This window comes from Homo sapiens, chromosome 6 (genome assembly GCF_000001405.40).
Source record: "Homo sapiens chromosome 6, GRCh38.p14 Primary Assembly".
In the NCBI taxonomy this organism is placed as follows: domain Eukaryota; kingdom Metazoa; phylum Chordata; class Mammalia; order Primates; family Hominidae; genus Homo; species Homo sapiens.
In genome coordinates this window covers 150,879,499-150,892,145 of record NC_000006.12, presented here as the reverse complement: position 1 = coordinate 150,892,145, position 12,647 = coordinate 150,879,499, and the positions used below count along the sequence as shown (strand labels likewise).

Sequence of the window (12,647 nt, the reverse complement as noted above, 5' to 3'; positions counted from 1 at the left end):
TCTGGGCTCTCAAGTGCAAACTATTGCCCTTGAATTTTCTTGGATAGGCTGCCACCATGTGGTGACTGCTAAAAACGCACACAGGTTCACGTTTCATTGCAAGGCTGCCTTCCTGAGCTGTCTTAACCCAAGCATTACATAAATTGGATCCACCTGCCATGCAAAGATTCCAAATCTGCTGAGACACCTGGCTTCCCTGGCACGATTACAATTTACTCCTCATTTCCATTCTCACCCTGCAACATGAGGAACATGTATTTTTAGATCACATTCTGTAGTTACTGATTGTACTTAATGCATTCATTTAAAACTTCACTTTGCTTTAGATCTGTGAGCTGTACCATCATTTTTTAAAATGAAAAACAATCATTTCAGACATAGAAATGGAAAACAATAACCTAACATACCTAGACAACACCTATTGCCCAGTTTAAGAAAAAAGGCATGAAGGTGTCTAGGTTTCCTTTCCATCTATATCCACATCCTTGCCTCAATAAATGCTTTTCGGATTTGGTTCGTAGTTTGCATTATTTCTTTATATTTTTACTTCATTTGCATGGAATCCTAATATATATATAAGGATTATATAATTAATACATAATAATATAATATATATTATATATAATCCTAATATATATATTAAACAGTGATCTAAATGTCCTGACCTAAATATATATATTAAGATTCTATATATATATAAGGATTATATGTAATACATATTATATGTATGTATGTATTAGATTACATATATATATATATGTTGTGTTGCTTTCAGACACATATAAATGGTGTTGTATGAAATACATCCTTCTGCAACTTGGGTTTTTGTTCACTGAACAGTGTTTTAAAAAATTCTTCCAGCCCGGGCGCGGTAGCTCATGCCTGTAATCTCAGCATTTTGGGAGGTCGAGGTGGGCGGATCACCTGAGGTCAGGAGTTCCAGACCAGCCTGGCCAACATGGTGAAACCCTGTCTCTACTAAAAATACAAAAATTAGCTGGGCATGGTGGCGCACACCTGTAGTCCCAGCTACTCAGGAGGCTGAGGCAGAAGAATCACTTGAACCCAGGAGACAGAGGTTGCAGTGAGCCGAGTTCGCGCCACTGCACTGCAGCCTGGGGGATAGAGGGAGACTTCGTCTCAAAAAAACAAACAAACAAAAAACAAAACAAGAAAACATGTTGCTATCTACAGCTCTAGTTTATTAATTTTCACTGCTTGTATATCATTGTTTTATGAACTATGACTATGCATACTCTACATGCAACTATACTGATTTATCCTTTCACCCTGATGGGCATTTAGATCACTGTTTAAATACTTGTTGCAGTGCACTTGGTTTTTCAAGTCGCCTGCTTGGCTCTCTTCCAAGTTATACTTTCCTTCTTTCCTTTCCTTACTGTTCTAGAGCTTTTTGCTAGACTTTCCGTCCTGCTCTGAAACTTGCCTCAGTCTCTCCTTCTGCCTTATGGCCCTCAGTCCAATTCTTTCTTCCGAGGAGGCAAGAGCTGAAGTTGCTGCAGAACTGTACGGATACACCAGCACGAACTCGGGATAACTCGAATAGCTGCCACCGGTAACATATTTGGTGCGCGTGACTCAGATACATTCCCTAGTGGTCATCAAGCTCCAGAAGATGCTCAGGGAGGGATACTGTCCTCTCAATATTCAATAGTCACCGTTCCACAGGGGACCGCTGGCCTGCCCATCAGTGAAGGCGAAATCCTGCCCCTGTCTCCCTTGAACCTGGCTAGATACCGCTTTCACCAACTCATGGAGCCAACTCAGCCCTGACAGCAGAAAGGGGCCAAGACCCACAGAACCACCACTGCCCCTCTGTCTTAAACAAACAAACAAAACTTTTTGCACTATAAACATGCTGCTCTGACCATTTGTAAACACACCTTTGTATATATATGGGCAAGTTTTGTCTATTATATATATATATACACACACACATATATATACACTTTTTATTATTATTTTTTTGAGACGGAGTTTCGTTCTTGTTGCCCAGGCTGGAGTACAATGGTGTGATCTCGGCTCACCGCAACCTCTGCCTCCCGGGTTCAAGCAATTCTCCTGCCTCAGCCTCCTGAATAGCTGGGATTACAGGCATGTGCCACCACATCCAGCTAATTTTATATTTTTAGTAGAGATGGGGTTTCTCCATGTTGGTCGGGCTGGTCTTGAAACCCCAACCTCAGGTGGTCTGCCTGCCTCAGCCTCCCAAAGTGCTGGAATTACAGGGGTGAGCTATCATGCCTGGCCATATCATATATATTTAGAGTGAAATTCCTGGGTCAAAGAGTAGCTCAAACTCCATTAAACTGCTTTCCGAAATGCCTATTTCAAATTTAAACTCCCGCCAGCAATATATGAATTCCCATAGCTCCAGACATTTGTCAATATGGCTAACTGGCACTTTTTACCTACTGCCAATATGACTGGTGAGCAAAAACAGCAGGAAACCAGACAGCTTTTCACGTGTCTTTTAAACCTCGGGTTCCTCACCTGTTAGTGGTCTGTCATGTGTCCATTTTTCTAACAGATTGTCTTTGTCTCACTGATTTGTAGGAATCTTTTATAAGACACTAATTATTGGCTAAATGTTTGTTGTAAATATCTTCTACACTATAGCTGTCTTTTCACTTTTTTAAGAACTTCTTTTCAGAAAGAAAAACTTTGGGGTTTTTAAAAATTTGGATGCAGTCAGATTTATATACCTTTTCTTTAGCAATCTGTGCTTTTGGGGTCTCTTAAGCTATCCTTCCAACGCCAACCTCTTAAATGCATACGCCTATATTTTTTTCTATAAGTTTTACAGTTTTGCTTTCCACATTTAGGTATTTTAATATAGAAGTGATTTTTATATGTAGTGGCAGGTTAGTAATCCTATGCTAGACTCATATACATAACTAGTTAAGTCAGCACCATTTTTAATAGTTAATGTTTTAGCTTTTTTTTTTGAGACGGAGTCTCACTCTGTCGCGCAGGCTGGAGTGCAGTGGCACGATCGCGGCTCACTGCAACCCCTGCCTCCCGGGTTCAAGCGATTCTCCTGCCTCAGCTTCCCGAGTAGCTGGGATTACAGGCTTGCGCCGACACGCCCGGCTAATTTTTTTGTATTTTTAGTAGAGACGGTGTTTCACCATATTGGCCAGGCTGGTCTGAAACTCCTGAGCTCAAGTGATTTGCCCGCCTCAGCCTCCCAGAGTGCTGGGATTACAGGCATGAGCCACCACGCCCGGCCTTTAATAGTTAATCTTTTCCCCACTGATCTGTGGTACCTGCTCTCAAGCTTCCATATATGCATAAATTTCCACTTTCTTCTGTTCCGATCGTCTGTTTGTCTACCATATTATCCTAATTACTGTAAGTGCATAATAATTCACACTGTGTGGCTGGGAATGTCTCCCACCTAGTTTTTCCACAAAATTGTCTTGACTCTCTTTGTCCTTTATGCTTCCATTTGGATTTCAGAATCAGACTGTCAAATTCTACAAAATTTGCAGACAATTAGTATCTTTAAGATATTGCATCTTCTCCATGAAGATGATACCTCTGCTTTTATATGGGTCTTCTTAATAATTTTCATCAAAATTATAATTACTTTCAAAAGGTCATAATGCATATTAGATTTACCAAATGACTGTTCTGTACTTACTATGGTGAGAATTTAGTTTTTAATCACAATGTGGTGAATTACAGTGACAGACTTTCTCATGTTCAATCACCTGGAAATCCTAAAATAAACCCTACTTCCTGCTGTATTTGGTGTTCTCAGATTTCGCTCACGATTATTTCATTTATATTCATAGCTGAAACTGGCCTGTTAATTTTCCTTTAGCATGTTACCCTTCTTTGGTTTTGGCACTCATAAAGTCTGTTAGGCCACGTTCCTTCTTTTTCCATTTGCTGGAGAAAAGGATTGTATTAGAATGATCTGTTCTTTGTTTGATAGAGCTCATTTGTAAAACCACCTGTTGCCTTTTCTTGTTTGTTTGTCTGGTGAGTAGACTCATTCAATGTCTTTAATGGATATGGGTCTATTCAATTTTCTTCCTCTAATTTCTTGAATTAAGCACTTAGCTTATACATTTCTAGACTTTCTTCTGTTCTAACAGAAGCCTTCAAGATGTATGTTTCTAACATGAAATTTACCTTGCTTTGAAGCTGGCGTGTTTTCCACTGGATGCTCATTGTCATGGACCCTTTTCTCTGGAACAGGCATTGTAGAGCAGCTTCCAAAGACCCATGGGCCCCCACTACCAAAATCTTCTTTCCATCTAGGTTGACACCTACTAACCAAATGAAAATTCAATATTATACTCAAAACTTCAGATCCTTCCTTTAAGAACTTTATCTTAAGAAAAAAAGACCCTTTTAGGCTGGGTGTGGTGGCTCATGCCTATAATTCCAGCACTTTGGGAGGCTGAGGCAGGCGGATCACTTCAGGTCACGAGTTCAAGATCAGCCTGGCCAACATGGTAAAACCCCGCCTCCACTAAAAATATAGAAAATTAGCCAGGCGTCATGGCACATGCCTATAATCCCAGCTACTTAGAAGGCTGAGGCAGGAAAATCACTTGAACCTGGGAGGCAGAGGTTGCAGTGAGCCAAGATCACGCCACTGCACTCCAGCCTGGGCAACAGAGCAAGAATGTCTCAACAACAACAAAAAACCCTTTTAAAACTTGAACTTTCTCAGCACCAACCTACAATGACTAGGAACTAGGAGTGGGGTGTTGTAATCAACAAAAATTCTCTATTCAAACCCTTTTGGTTCCAATTCCTGTTGCTGAATTTCTTTCCACAATATGTAACTATAACTCACCAGCCTAATTTACTCTTTTCTTTGAGTACTTTCTAATGAAGTGGCTCAGAATCTTCATCTTGATAATCCACGTAATGAAAAAGCACTGTATATATGGATTATTTCATAGATTTGAGCTTAATATTACTGTCCAAAAAGCATATATATCCTGAATGTTAACCTTTTAATAAAACTTTGCCATATATTTTTGAAATTTTTCTTTGATTGTTGGATGTTCAGGGGTAGGGAGGGGCATTTGCTTCATTTCTATTCAAACTGGAGTAGAGAAAAAGATTTAGTTCGTTGAATTTTTTCTTTTCTTTTTTTTTTTTTTTCAGATAGGATCTTGCTTGTTGCCCAGGATGGAATGCTGCGGTGTGATCACAGCTCACTGAAGCCTTGACCTCCCAGGCTCCAGCCATTCTCCTACCTCAGCCTCCCAAGTAGCCGGGACTACAGGCACAAGTCACCACACCTGGCTAATTAAAAAAAAAATTTTTTTTGGTAGAGATGGAGTCTCCCTATGTTCCCCAAGCTGGTCTCAAACTCCTGGGCTCAAGCAATCCTCCCATCTTGGCTCCACAAAGTGCTGGGATTACAGGTGTGAGCTACTGTGCCGGCCCAATTAGTTGAATCTTTATGTTCTCAGAAAGCCCTTAAATATATAAATACTTGGTAGTAATTTACTCATTAAACTTAATAATGAAGAAAGAGAAAATATTCATTTCTATTTCACTGACATAAAAACGCCAAGTCAAGGGGACAACAATGGAAATTAAGTCCTGACTACTGAAAAGCAAGCTGCTCACCAATAAATCCCAACCTAGGCTCCTGTGCCCTAAACTACATCTACCGGCTTCTTCTTCTTCTCTTTTTTTTTTTTTTTTTTTTTTTGAGGCAGGGTCTTGCTATATTGCCCAGGCTAGAGTGCAGTGGTGCAATCACAGCTCACTGTAACCTCAAACTCCTGGGCTCAAGCGATCTTCCCGCCTGAGCCTCCAGCATAGCTGGGACTACACGTGCACACCACCATACCCAGCTAATTTTTAAATTTTTTTTGTAGAGACAAGGTCTCAGTATGTTTGCCCAGGCTGGTCTCGAACTCCTGGCCTGAAGTGATCCTCTGGCCTTGGCCTCGCCTAGCACTGAGATTATAGGCATGAGCCGCTGTGCCTGGCCTCATTTAAGTCTTCAACGTAAGTCTTATCTAAGGCTACATATTGATAGATTTAGTAAGCTGAAACTGGAAGCATATTTTACTGTGGTTATTTTGACTGTTTCATGAGAGAAATTGAGCATGTTTAAAACAGGGCTAATCGTTTATCTCTACTAATTTCTCTTTTAATTTATAAGATGGTCTTACTAGAAAAAGTTTCTAGGTATTCATCTGTATCTCCCAAAAGATGAGAAAAATAAAAAAAGTCAACGTGAAATATCACTTCTATGTTCAATTAGAATCTTCTAGAAACATCCTAAAAGGATATCAGAATAATAATTTAAAAAAATTTTTAATTCTTCCCCAAACAAATCCTTATTAAAAATAATGTAAATACCAATAAATAGAAATCAGCGGCATTTCTCAAGGAGCATCCTACCTGATTTTTCAAGAAGTTCAATTACAGCTTTGGCAACAGGTGAAACAAAACATTCATGGGCATCCCCTCGCACCAGCTTCCCCAGGTTTATGTCTGTTACTCTGAATCAGAAAATAAAGAAGTAGGTTAAGTCAAAGCCCAGCCAAAAAAATCACTCACGTGTAATGTACATATATTAACCCCAAATAACATCCAAGTCAATGTTTGATAGACAGAATACATAAAAATGAATTAAAGAGGACCAGGCATGGTGGCTCACGCCTGTAATCCCAGCATTTTGGGAGGCTGAGGCGGGTGGATCACATGAGGTCAGGAGCTCGAGACTAGCCTGGCCAACATGGCGAAACCTCAACTCCACTAAAAATACAAAAGGTAGCTGGGCGTGATGGCACGTGCCTGTAATCCCAGCTACTAGGGGGCTGAGGCAGGAGGATCGCTTGAACCTGGGAGGCAGAGGTTGCAGTGAGTTGAGATCATGCCACTGCACTCCAGCCTGGGCAACAGAGCGAGACTCCATCTCAAAAAAAAAAAAAAACCCATAAAAAATGAATTAAAGAGAAAGCAGGCAATAAAGGCCATTCAATAAAGGTCTTAGAAAATTCTAAGGCAGTACCTTAGGAAACTTCACCCTGGCCCTGACATTGGGTGTTCCGGTTCTGCCAATATACCAGGACACAGCCTAAAGCCATACAGGGCTTCACTTCGCAACTCCAGGGAGCTCCTTTCAATGGACCCCAATGGACTAGCATCCCTAGAGTTACACAGAAGCATGGTCCTGCAGTCCACTCAAAACCCAGAACCAATCCTATAAATCTGGAGTGACCCAGTAAGACCTGGGATTGAGGCACAGGTCACAGGTCTGATTTCAACTTGACCTCGATATTTATCTCCTTGAGAAGTCGGGGTGGGGGGCAGTGGAAAAAATGAGTGACCACACACTTCTGAAGGGTTCTGTGCCTTTCCCTGTTCAAATCTAGGACAAAACATTCCACAGCTATCTAGCCTAAACTGAGCACGTCAATCTCAGTAACAGAATGGAGACATTTAGAACCATTTTCGTAATTTCTCCTTTTACTCTCTGTTGTTTTTGTTTGGTTGGTTTTTCCTGGCTGGGCCTCAGCATGAATTCCCCTCCTTTTATGAAAGACTTGAAACTATGCCCTAGGACCTTCAAGTTCTGAAAGTTTTCTCATGGATTAGTGCTTCTTCTCCTTTTACAGTTAGTCTACGACAGGACTGGAGATTGTCGTTTTTTAAAAAAATGTTTAATTATTTACTTAAAAATAGAGACAAGGGGCCAGGCGCGGTGGCTCACTCCTGTAATCCCAGCACTTTGGGAGGCCGAGGCAGGCGGGTCACGAGGTCAGGAGATCGAGACCATCCTGGCTAACACGGTGAAACCTCGTCTCTACTAAAAGTACAAAAATTAGCCAGGTGTGGTGGTGGGCACCTGTAGTCCCAGCTACTCGGGAGGCTGAGGCAGGAGAATGGTGTGAACCCAGGAGGCAGAGCTTGCAGTGAGCCGAGATCGTGTCACTGCACTCCAGCCTGGGCAACAGAGTGAGACTCTGTCTCAAAAAAAAAAAAAAAAAATAGAGATGAGGTCTCACTATGTTGTCCAGGCTGGTCTTGACCTCCTGAGATCAAGAGATCCTCCTGCCTTGGCCTCCCAAAGTGCTAGGATTACAGGTGTGAGCCACTGTGCCCAGCCAGGACTGGAGGTGTTCATGACACCTTTTCAGCCTGTGTTTGGGTCTACTCAAGTCACAATAAAAGGCTAGAATGGAAGATTGCTGGGTGTCTCAGGAAGGTGGTAGCCTCCCCATCCAGCCCCTGCAGGGTCTACCGGATCTGGAATCTAACTTTATAAATCTGCTTACAACCTATAACCATTAACACATTGTGTTCTTTTTGGCCACAGTACAAAACACTTCCTATATTTCCATGGAGGAAAATGGGGTTTTAATCCCCAGGAAGCATGCTTATCCCCCACTGGAGACGGCCGGTATCCTTTGTTCTATGAAGCTTATGTCACTCCATGACATGAATCACAGGCCAACATTACAGCACCCAATAGTTATGATGTTCCCCTCCAAATTTCAAATAAAACCTTGTGTCATTAAGAAAAGTATTTATTTTGCTTTTCTCAACTGGCCTGGGACTAAGACAGAATATGGTACTGCTGGGGAATCAGGTTTCTAAGTTTTCTTCTCTGGTCTGGTAGAATTACCAAGGAAAAAACTATTAGAAGAATAGAGCTGGCTAAAGATTGTATAAGTCAGACCGGAATTTATTAAATGAATCTGATGGTGTAAGATCATATGGCATTGAAGCACTATAAAAGGGCTAATGTATTTTCCAAAATATGTAACTTTTGCATGCAGAATTTTAAAAGGCTACAGATGGCCAGACACGGTGGCTCACGCCTGTAATCCCAACATTTTGGGAGGCTGAGGTGAGTGGATCACAAGGTCAGGAGATAGACACCATCCTGGCCAACATGGTAAAACCCCGTCTCTACTAAAAATACAAAAATTAGCCAGGCATGGTAGCGCATGCCTGTAATCCCAGCTACTCAGGAGGCTGAGGCAGGAAAATCGCTTGAACCCAGGAGATGGAGGTTGTGGTGAGCCAAGATCACGCCACTGCACTCTAGCCTGGGCAACAGAGCGAGACTCCATCTCAAAAAAAAAAAAATCCTATAGACTCCTGAAATATTTAAAATGATTTTTTTATCCAATTACTGACACAGTTGAAATAAATAGAAGAAATTTAGAAAAATAAAAGCAGGCACAATAGAAAAAGTGATTTAGCCATAAAGGTTGATTATTTGATTTTATTTTCTTACCCATCCACATCTTTTTCTGGTTTCAAGGCATTGAGGACTTTGTTGCTAAACAAGTTCTCAGAGATCTGAAGGGCAAGGCCATGTACTCTGGTATCTTCATTGATCTTTAAGATTTCATCTATAATCTAAAGAGAAAACAAAAAAACAAAATAAAAATTAGTTTTGTGAAAATGAGACCCAACAAAGGAAGCTTTATATAAAAAGTGGATTCATGAAAATGCATCTGTTATAGTTTGTTGTTGTTTTGCTCCTTGTTGGAAACTTGGTGTAAAGCATAATAAAAAGCCTATTTTTTTCTTTTCATCATGTGTACAAGGCTCAAAAAAAAAATTAAAAGGCTTGGCTGAATTTTTTAGTGACTTCTCTGCCTTTCTATGGCTCTACTCTGTGCCAGAAAAAGACAAAACAGAACAAAACCAAAGCTCAACAGCTATTAAGGTTTAGATAGACAAAGGACACTTCTCTGTCAACAAGCATACTTTAAGCCAAACACACTGCCAGTTTTCAGGAAGGACAGGAAGCATGAATCTGAAGCATTCCAATCTGGCCCAGCTAAGCCTGTGCGTTTCAAACACAATGTGTTCAACACAGCTCACTAATCATGACGTCCAAGCAGTCACAGAGGCCCTCGGGTTATCTGGACCTCAATGACACACAAGAAGCCTTTCCAAAGGCTTATGCTAGAAAAATTCTTAGCATGCACAGCTCCTTTTATGGGAAACACTAAAATAATTCACTATTTAGGAAAAAGACCAAGCTACATTTTGGGAAGCTAATAAATGTCTGGGTGTGTCTCTAAATAAGCAATGCTTTGTCCTCTCTGTCTATTTTATGCCAGGAGATAAGATCCTGATTCATCTCACTTAACAAAAATATTTGCTCACAAGTGAGAAGATACTTATCTTTGCATATAGATCTCACTCAGAGGCTCTGGGGAAGGGTTGGTTTACCATTTTTGTTTCATTGCCTAGCAAAAATCACTACCTGTGCAGTGGCAGGGGAAACCATTTGAGGTACAAAATCAGAAAGAAAGCTTTGTTTCATTCATTTGGCATTCTTTCATTCATTCAACAAATGGTTTGAGCACTTACTCTGTATCAGTTCTAAGTAAAGGAAATACAGCTATAAACAAAACTGTCCTCGTGGATCTTATACTCTAGTGGAGGAGGGAAGTTCCTCCCTTCCAAATAATAATAATAATAAAATCACTGGAAAGAATAAATGACATGCAGAAAAATAAAGGTTCAGTGGGGTAAAAGGCTAACAGAGTGATGATGGGTGGAGGGTGGTCAGAGGCCACGATGTCCAAGCAGAGACCAGAATGAAGCGAGGAAACTATTGCCACCTGTACCAAGCATTTGGTAGAAGCAACAAATGCCAACACAAATCTTAACTAATAAATTAAGGTACCTACTCTTTTTCAATATAACACCATACAAATTCACTCTATGAGAATTTTCCCAAAGAAAAATACGGAATAAATGATTCCTTGTCAAAAAATAAGTCAAGGCAAAGGTACTAAGAACACACATTGTGGAAAGAGAGCCTCTTCAATAAATAGCACTGGGAAAACTGGATATCCACATGCAGAAGAATGAAAGTAGGCCCTCATCGCTCACTTCTATAAAAATCAACTCAAAAGGAATTAAAGACTTAAATATAAGGTCTCAAACCATAAAACTACTAGAAGAAAACACAGGGGAAATGCTTCATGACATTGGTCTGGACAAGGTTTTTTTGGATAGGACCTCAACAAAATAGGCAACGAAAGCAAAAATACATCAGTGGGATTATATCAAACTAAAAACATTCTTCATAGCAAAGCAAACAATCAACAAAGCAGAGACAACCTACAGAATGGGAGAAAATATTTGCAAAGTATGCGTCCGACAAGGGGTTAACATCCAGAATATATAAGGAACTCAAATAACTTAATAACAAAAAAACAAATAATTCAAATAAAAAATGTGCAAAAGACGTGAACAGACATCTCCCAAAGGACATACAAATGGCCTGCAGGTATATGACAAAACACTCAACATCATTAATTATCAGGGAAATGCAAATCAAAACCACAATGAGATATCAAGCTAGAATGGCTATTATCAAAAATGACAATAACAAATGCTGGCGAGGATATGTGGAAAGGGGAGCTCTTGTACACTGTTGGTGGGAATGCAGATTAATATAGCCATTAGAGAAAACAGTATGAAGATTTCTCACAAAATTAAAAAAACAACTACCATATGACCCAGCCATTCCCACCACTAGGTATATACGCATGGGAACTGAAACCGCTATGCTGAGAAGCCGTCTGCATTCCCATGTTTGTTACAGCACTATTCACAGTAGCCAAGAGATGGAACCAATCCAAATGCCCATTAATGGAGGATAAAGAAAGTGTGGTGTGTATACACAATGGAGTATCATTCAACCATAAAAAGGAATGAAATCCTGTCATTTGTGGCAACATGGATGAACCTGGAGGACATAACATGAAGTGAAATAAGCCAGGTGCAGAAAGGCAAATATCATAGGATGTCACTTACATGTGCAATCTAGGAAAGCTGATCTCATAGAAATAGAGAATAGAATGGTGGTTACCAGAGGCTGGAGAGGGATGGGGGAGGGGAAATGGGGAGAGGTTGGTCCATCAGTAGGTATAAAGTTACACTTAGATAGGAGGAATAAATTCCAGTGTTCTCTTACATAGTAGAGTGACTAAAGCTAATGACAATGTATTGTATATTTCCAGACAGCTAGAAAAGATCTTGAAAGCTATCACCACAAAGAAATGATAAACGTTCTAGGTGATGAATGTAACTAACCTGATTTGATCATTACACAACATATGCAAGTACCGAAACACCACACTGTACCCCACACACATGCACAATTATTATGTGTCAATTATAAACAACAACGACGAAAATCAAGGGCTATTAATACCAGTGTCAAGGCCAGGTGAGGTGGCTCATACCTGTAATCCCAGCGCTTTGGGAGGCCAGGGAGGGCAGATCACCTGAGGTCAGGAGTTCGAGAACGGCCTGGCTAACATGGTGAAACCCCGTCTCTACAAAAATGCAAAAATTAGCTGGGCATAATGGCGGGTGCCTGTAAACCCAGTTACTTGGGAGGCTGAGCAGGGAGAATCACTTGAACATGGGAGGTGGAAGTTGCAGTGAGAGGAGATTGCGCCATTGGACTCTAGCCTGGGTGACAGAGTGAGACTCCGTCTCAGAAAAAAAAAAAAAAAAAAAAACACCAGTGGCAAAACAACCTAAAGAAAAGCAAATTCCAGCTGGGCGCAGTGGCTCACACCTGTAATCCTAGCACTTTGGGAGGCAGAGGCAGGCCATCACCTGAGGTCAGGAGTTCAAGACCAGCC

At 40.7% G+C, this 12,647-nt stretch overlaps 1 protein-coding gene across 36 annotated transcripts in view; it reads right to left on the bottom strand.

Moving 5' to 3' along the window:
• Positions 1-12,647, bottom strand: part of MTHFD1L (methylenetetrahydrofolate dehydrogenase (NADP+ dependent) 1 like) — a 236,186-nt gene that overhangs the window by 209,742 nt on the left and 13,797 nt on the right. For 21 of the 36 annotated variants that reach the window (NM_001242767.2, XM_017010702.3, XM_017010703.3 and 18 more), the window contains exons 5-7: positions 9,260-9,384; positions 6,412-6,512; positions 4,165-4,304 (exon numbers count right to left, since the gene is read on the bottom strand). In NM_001242767.2, the coding sequence (NP_001229696.1) occupies positions 4,165-4,304; positions 6,412-6,512; positions 9,260-9,384 (366 nt within the window). The remainder of the gene's footprint in view (positions 1-4,164; positions 4,305-6,411; positions 6,513-9,259; positions 9,385-12,647) is intronic. The other 15 variants (NR_146719.2, NR_146720.2, NM_015440.5 and 12 more) reach the window with 2 other exon arrangements.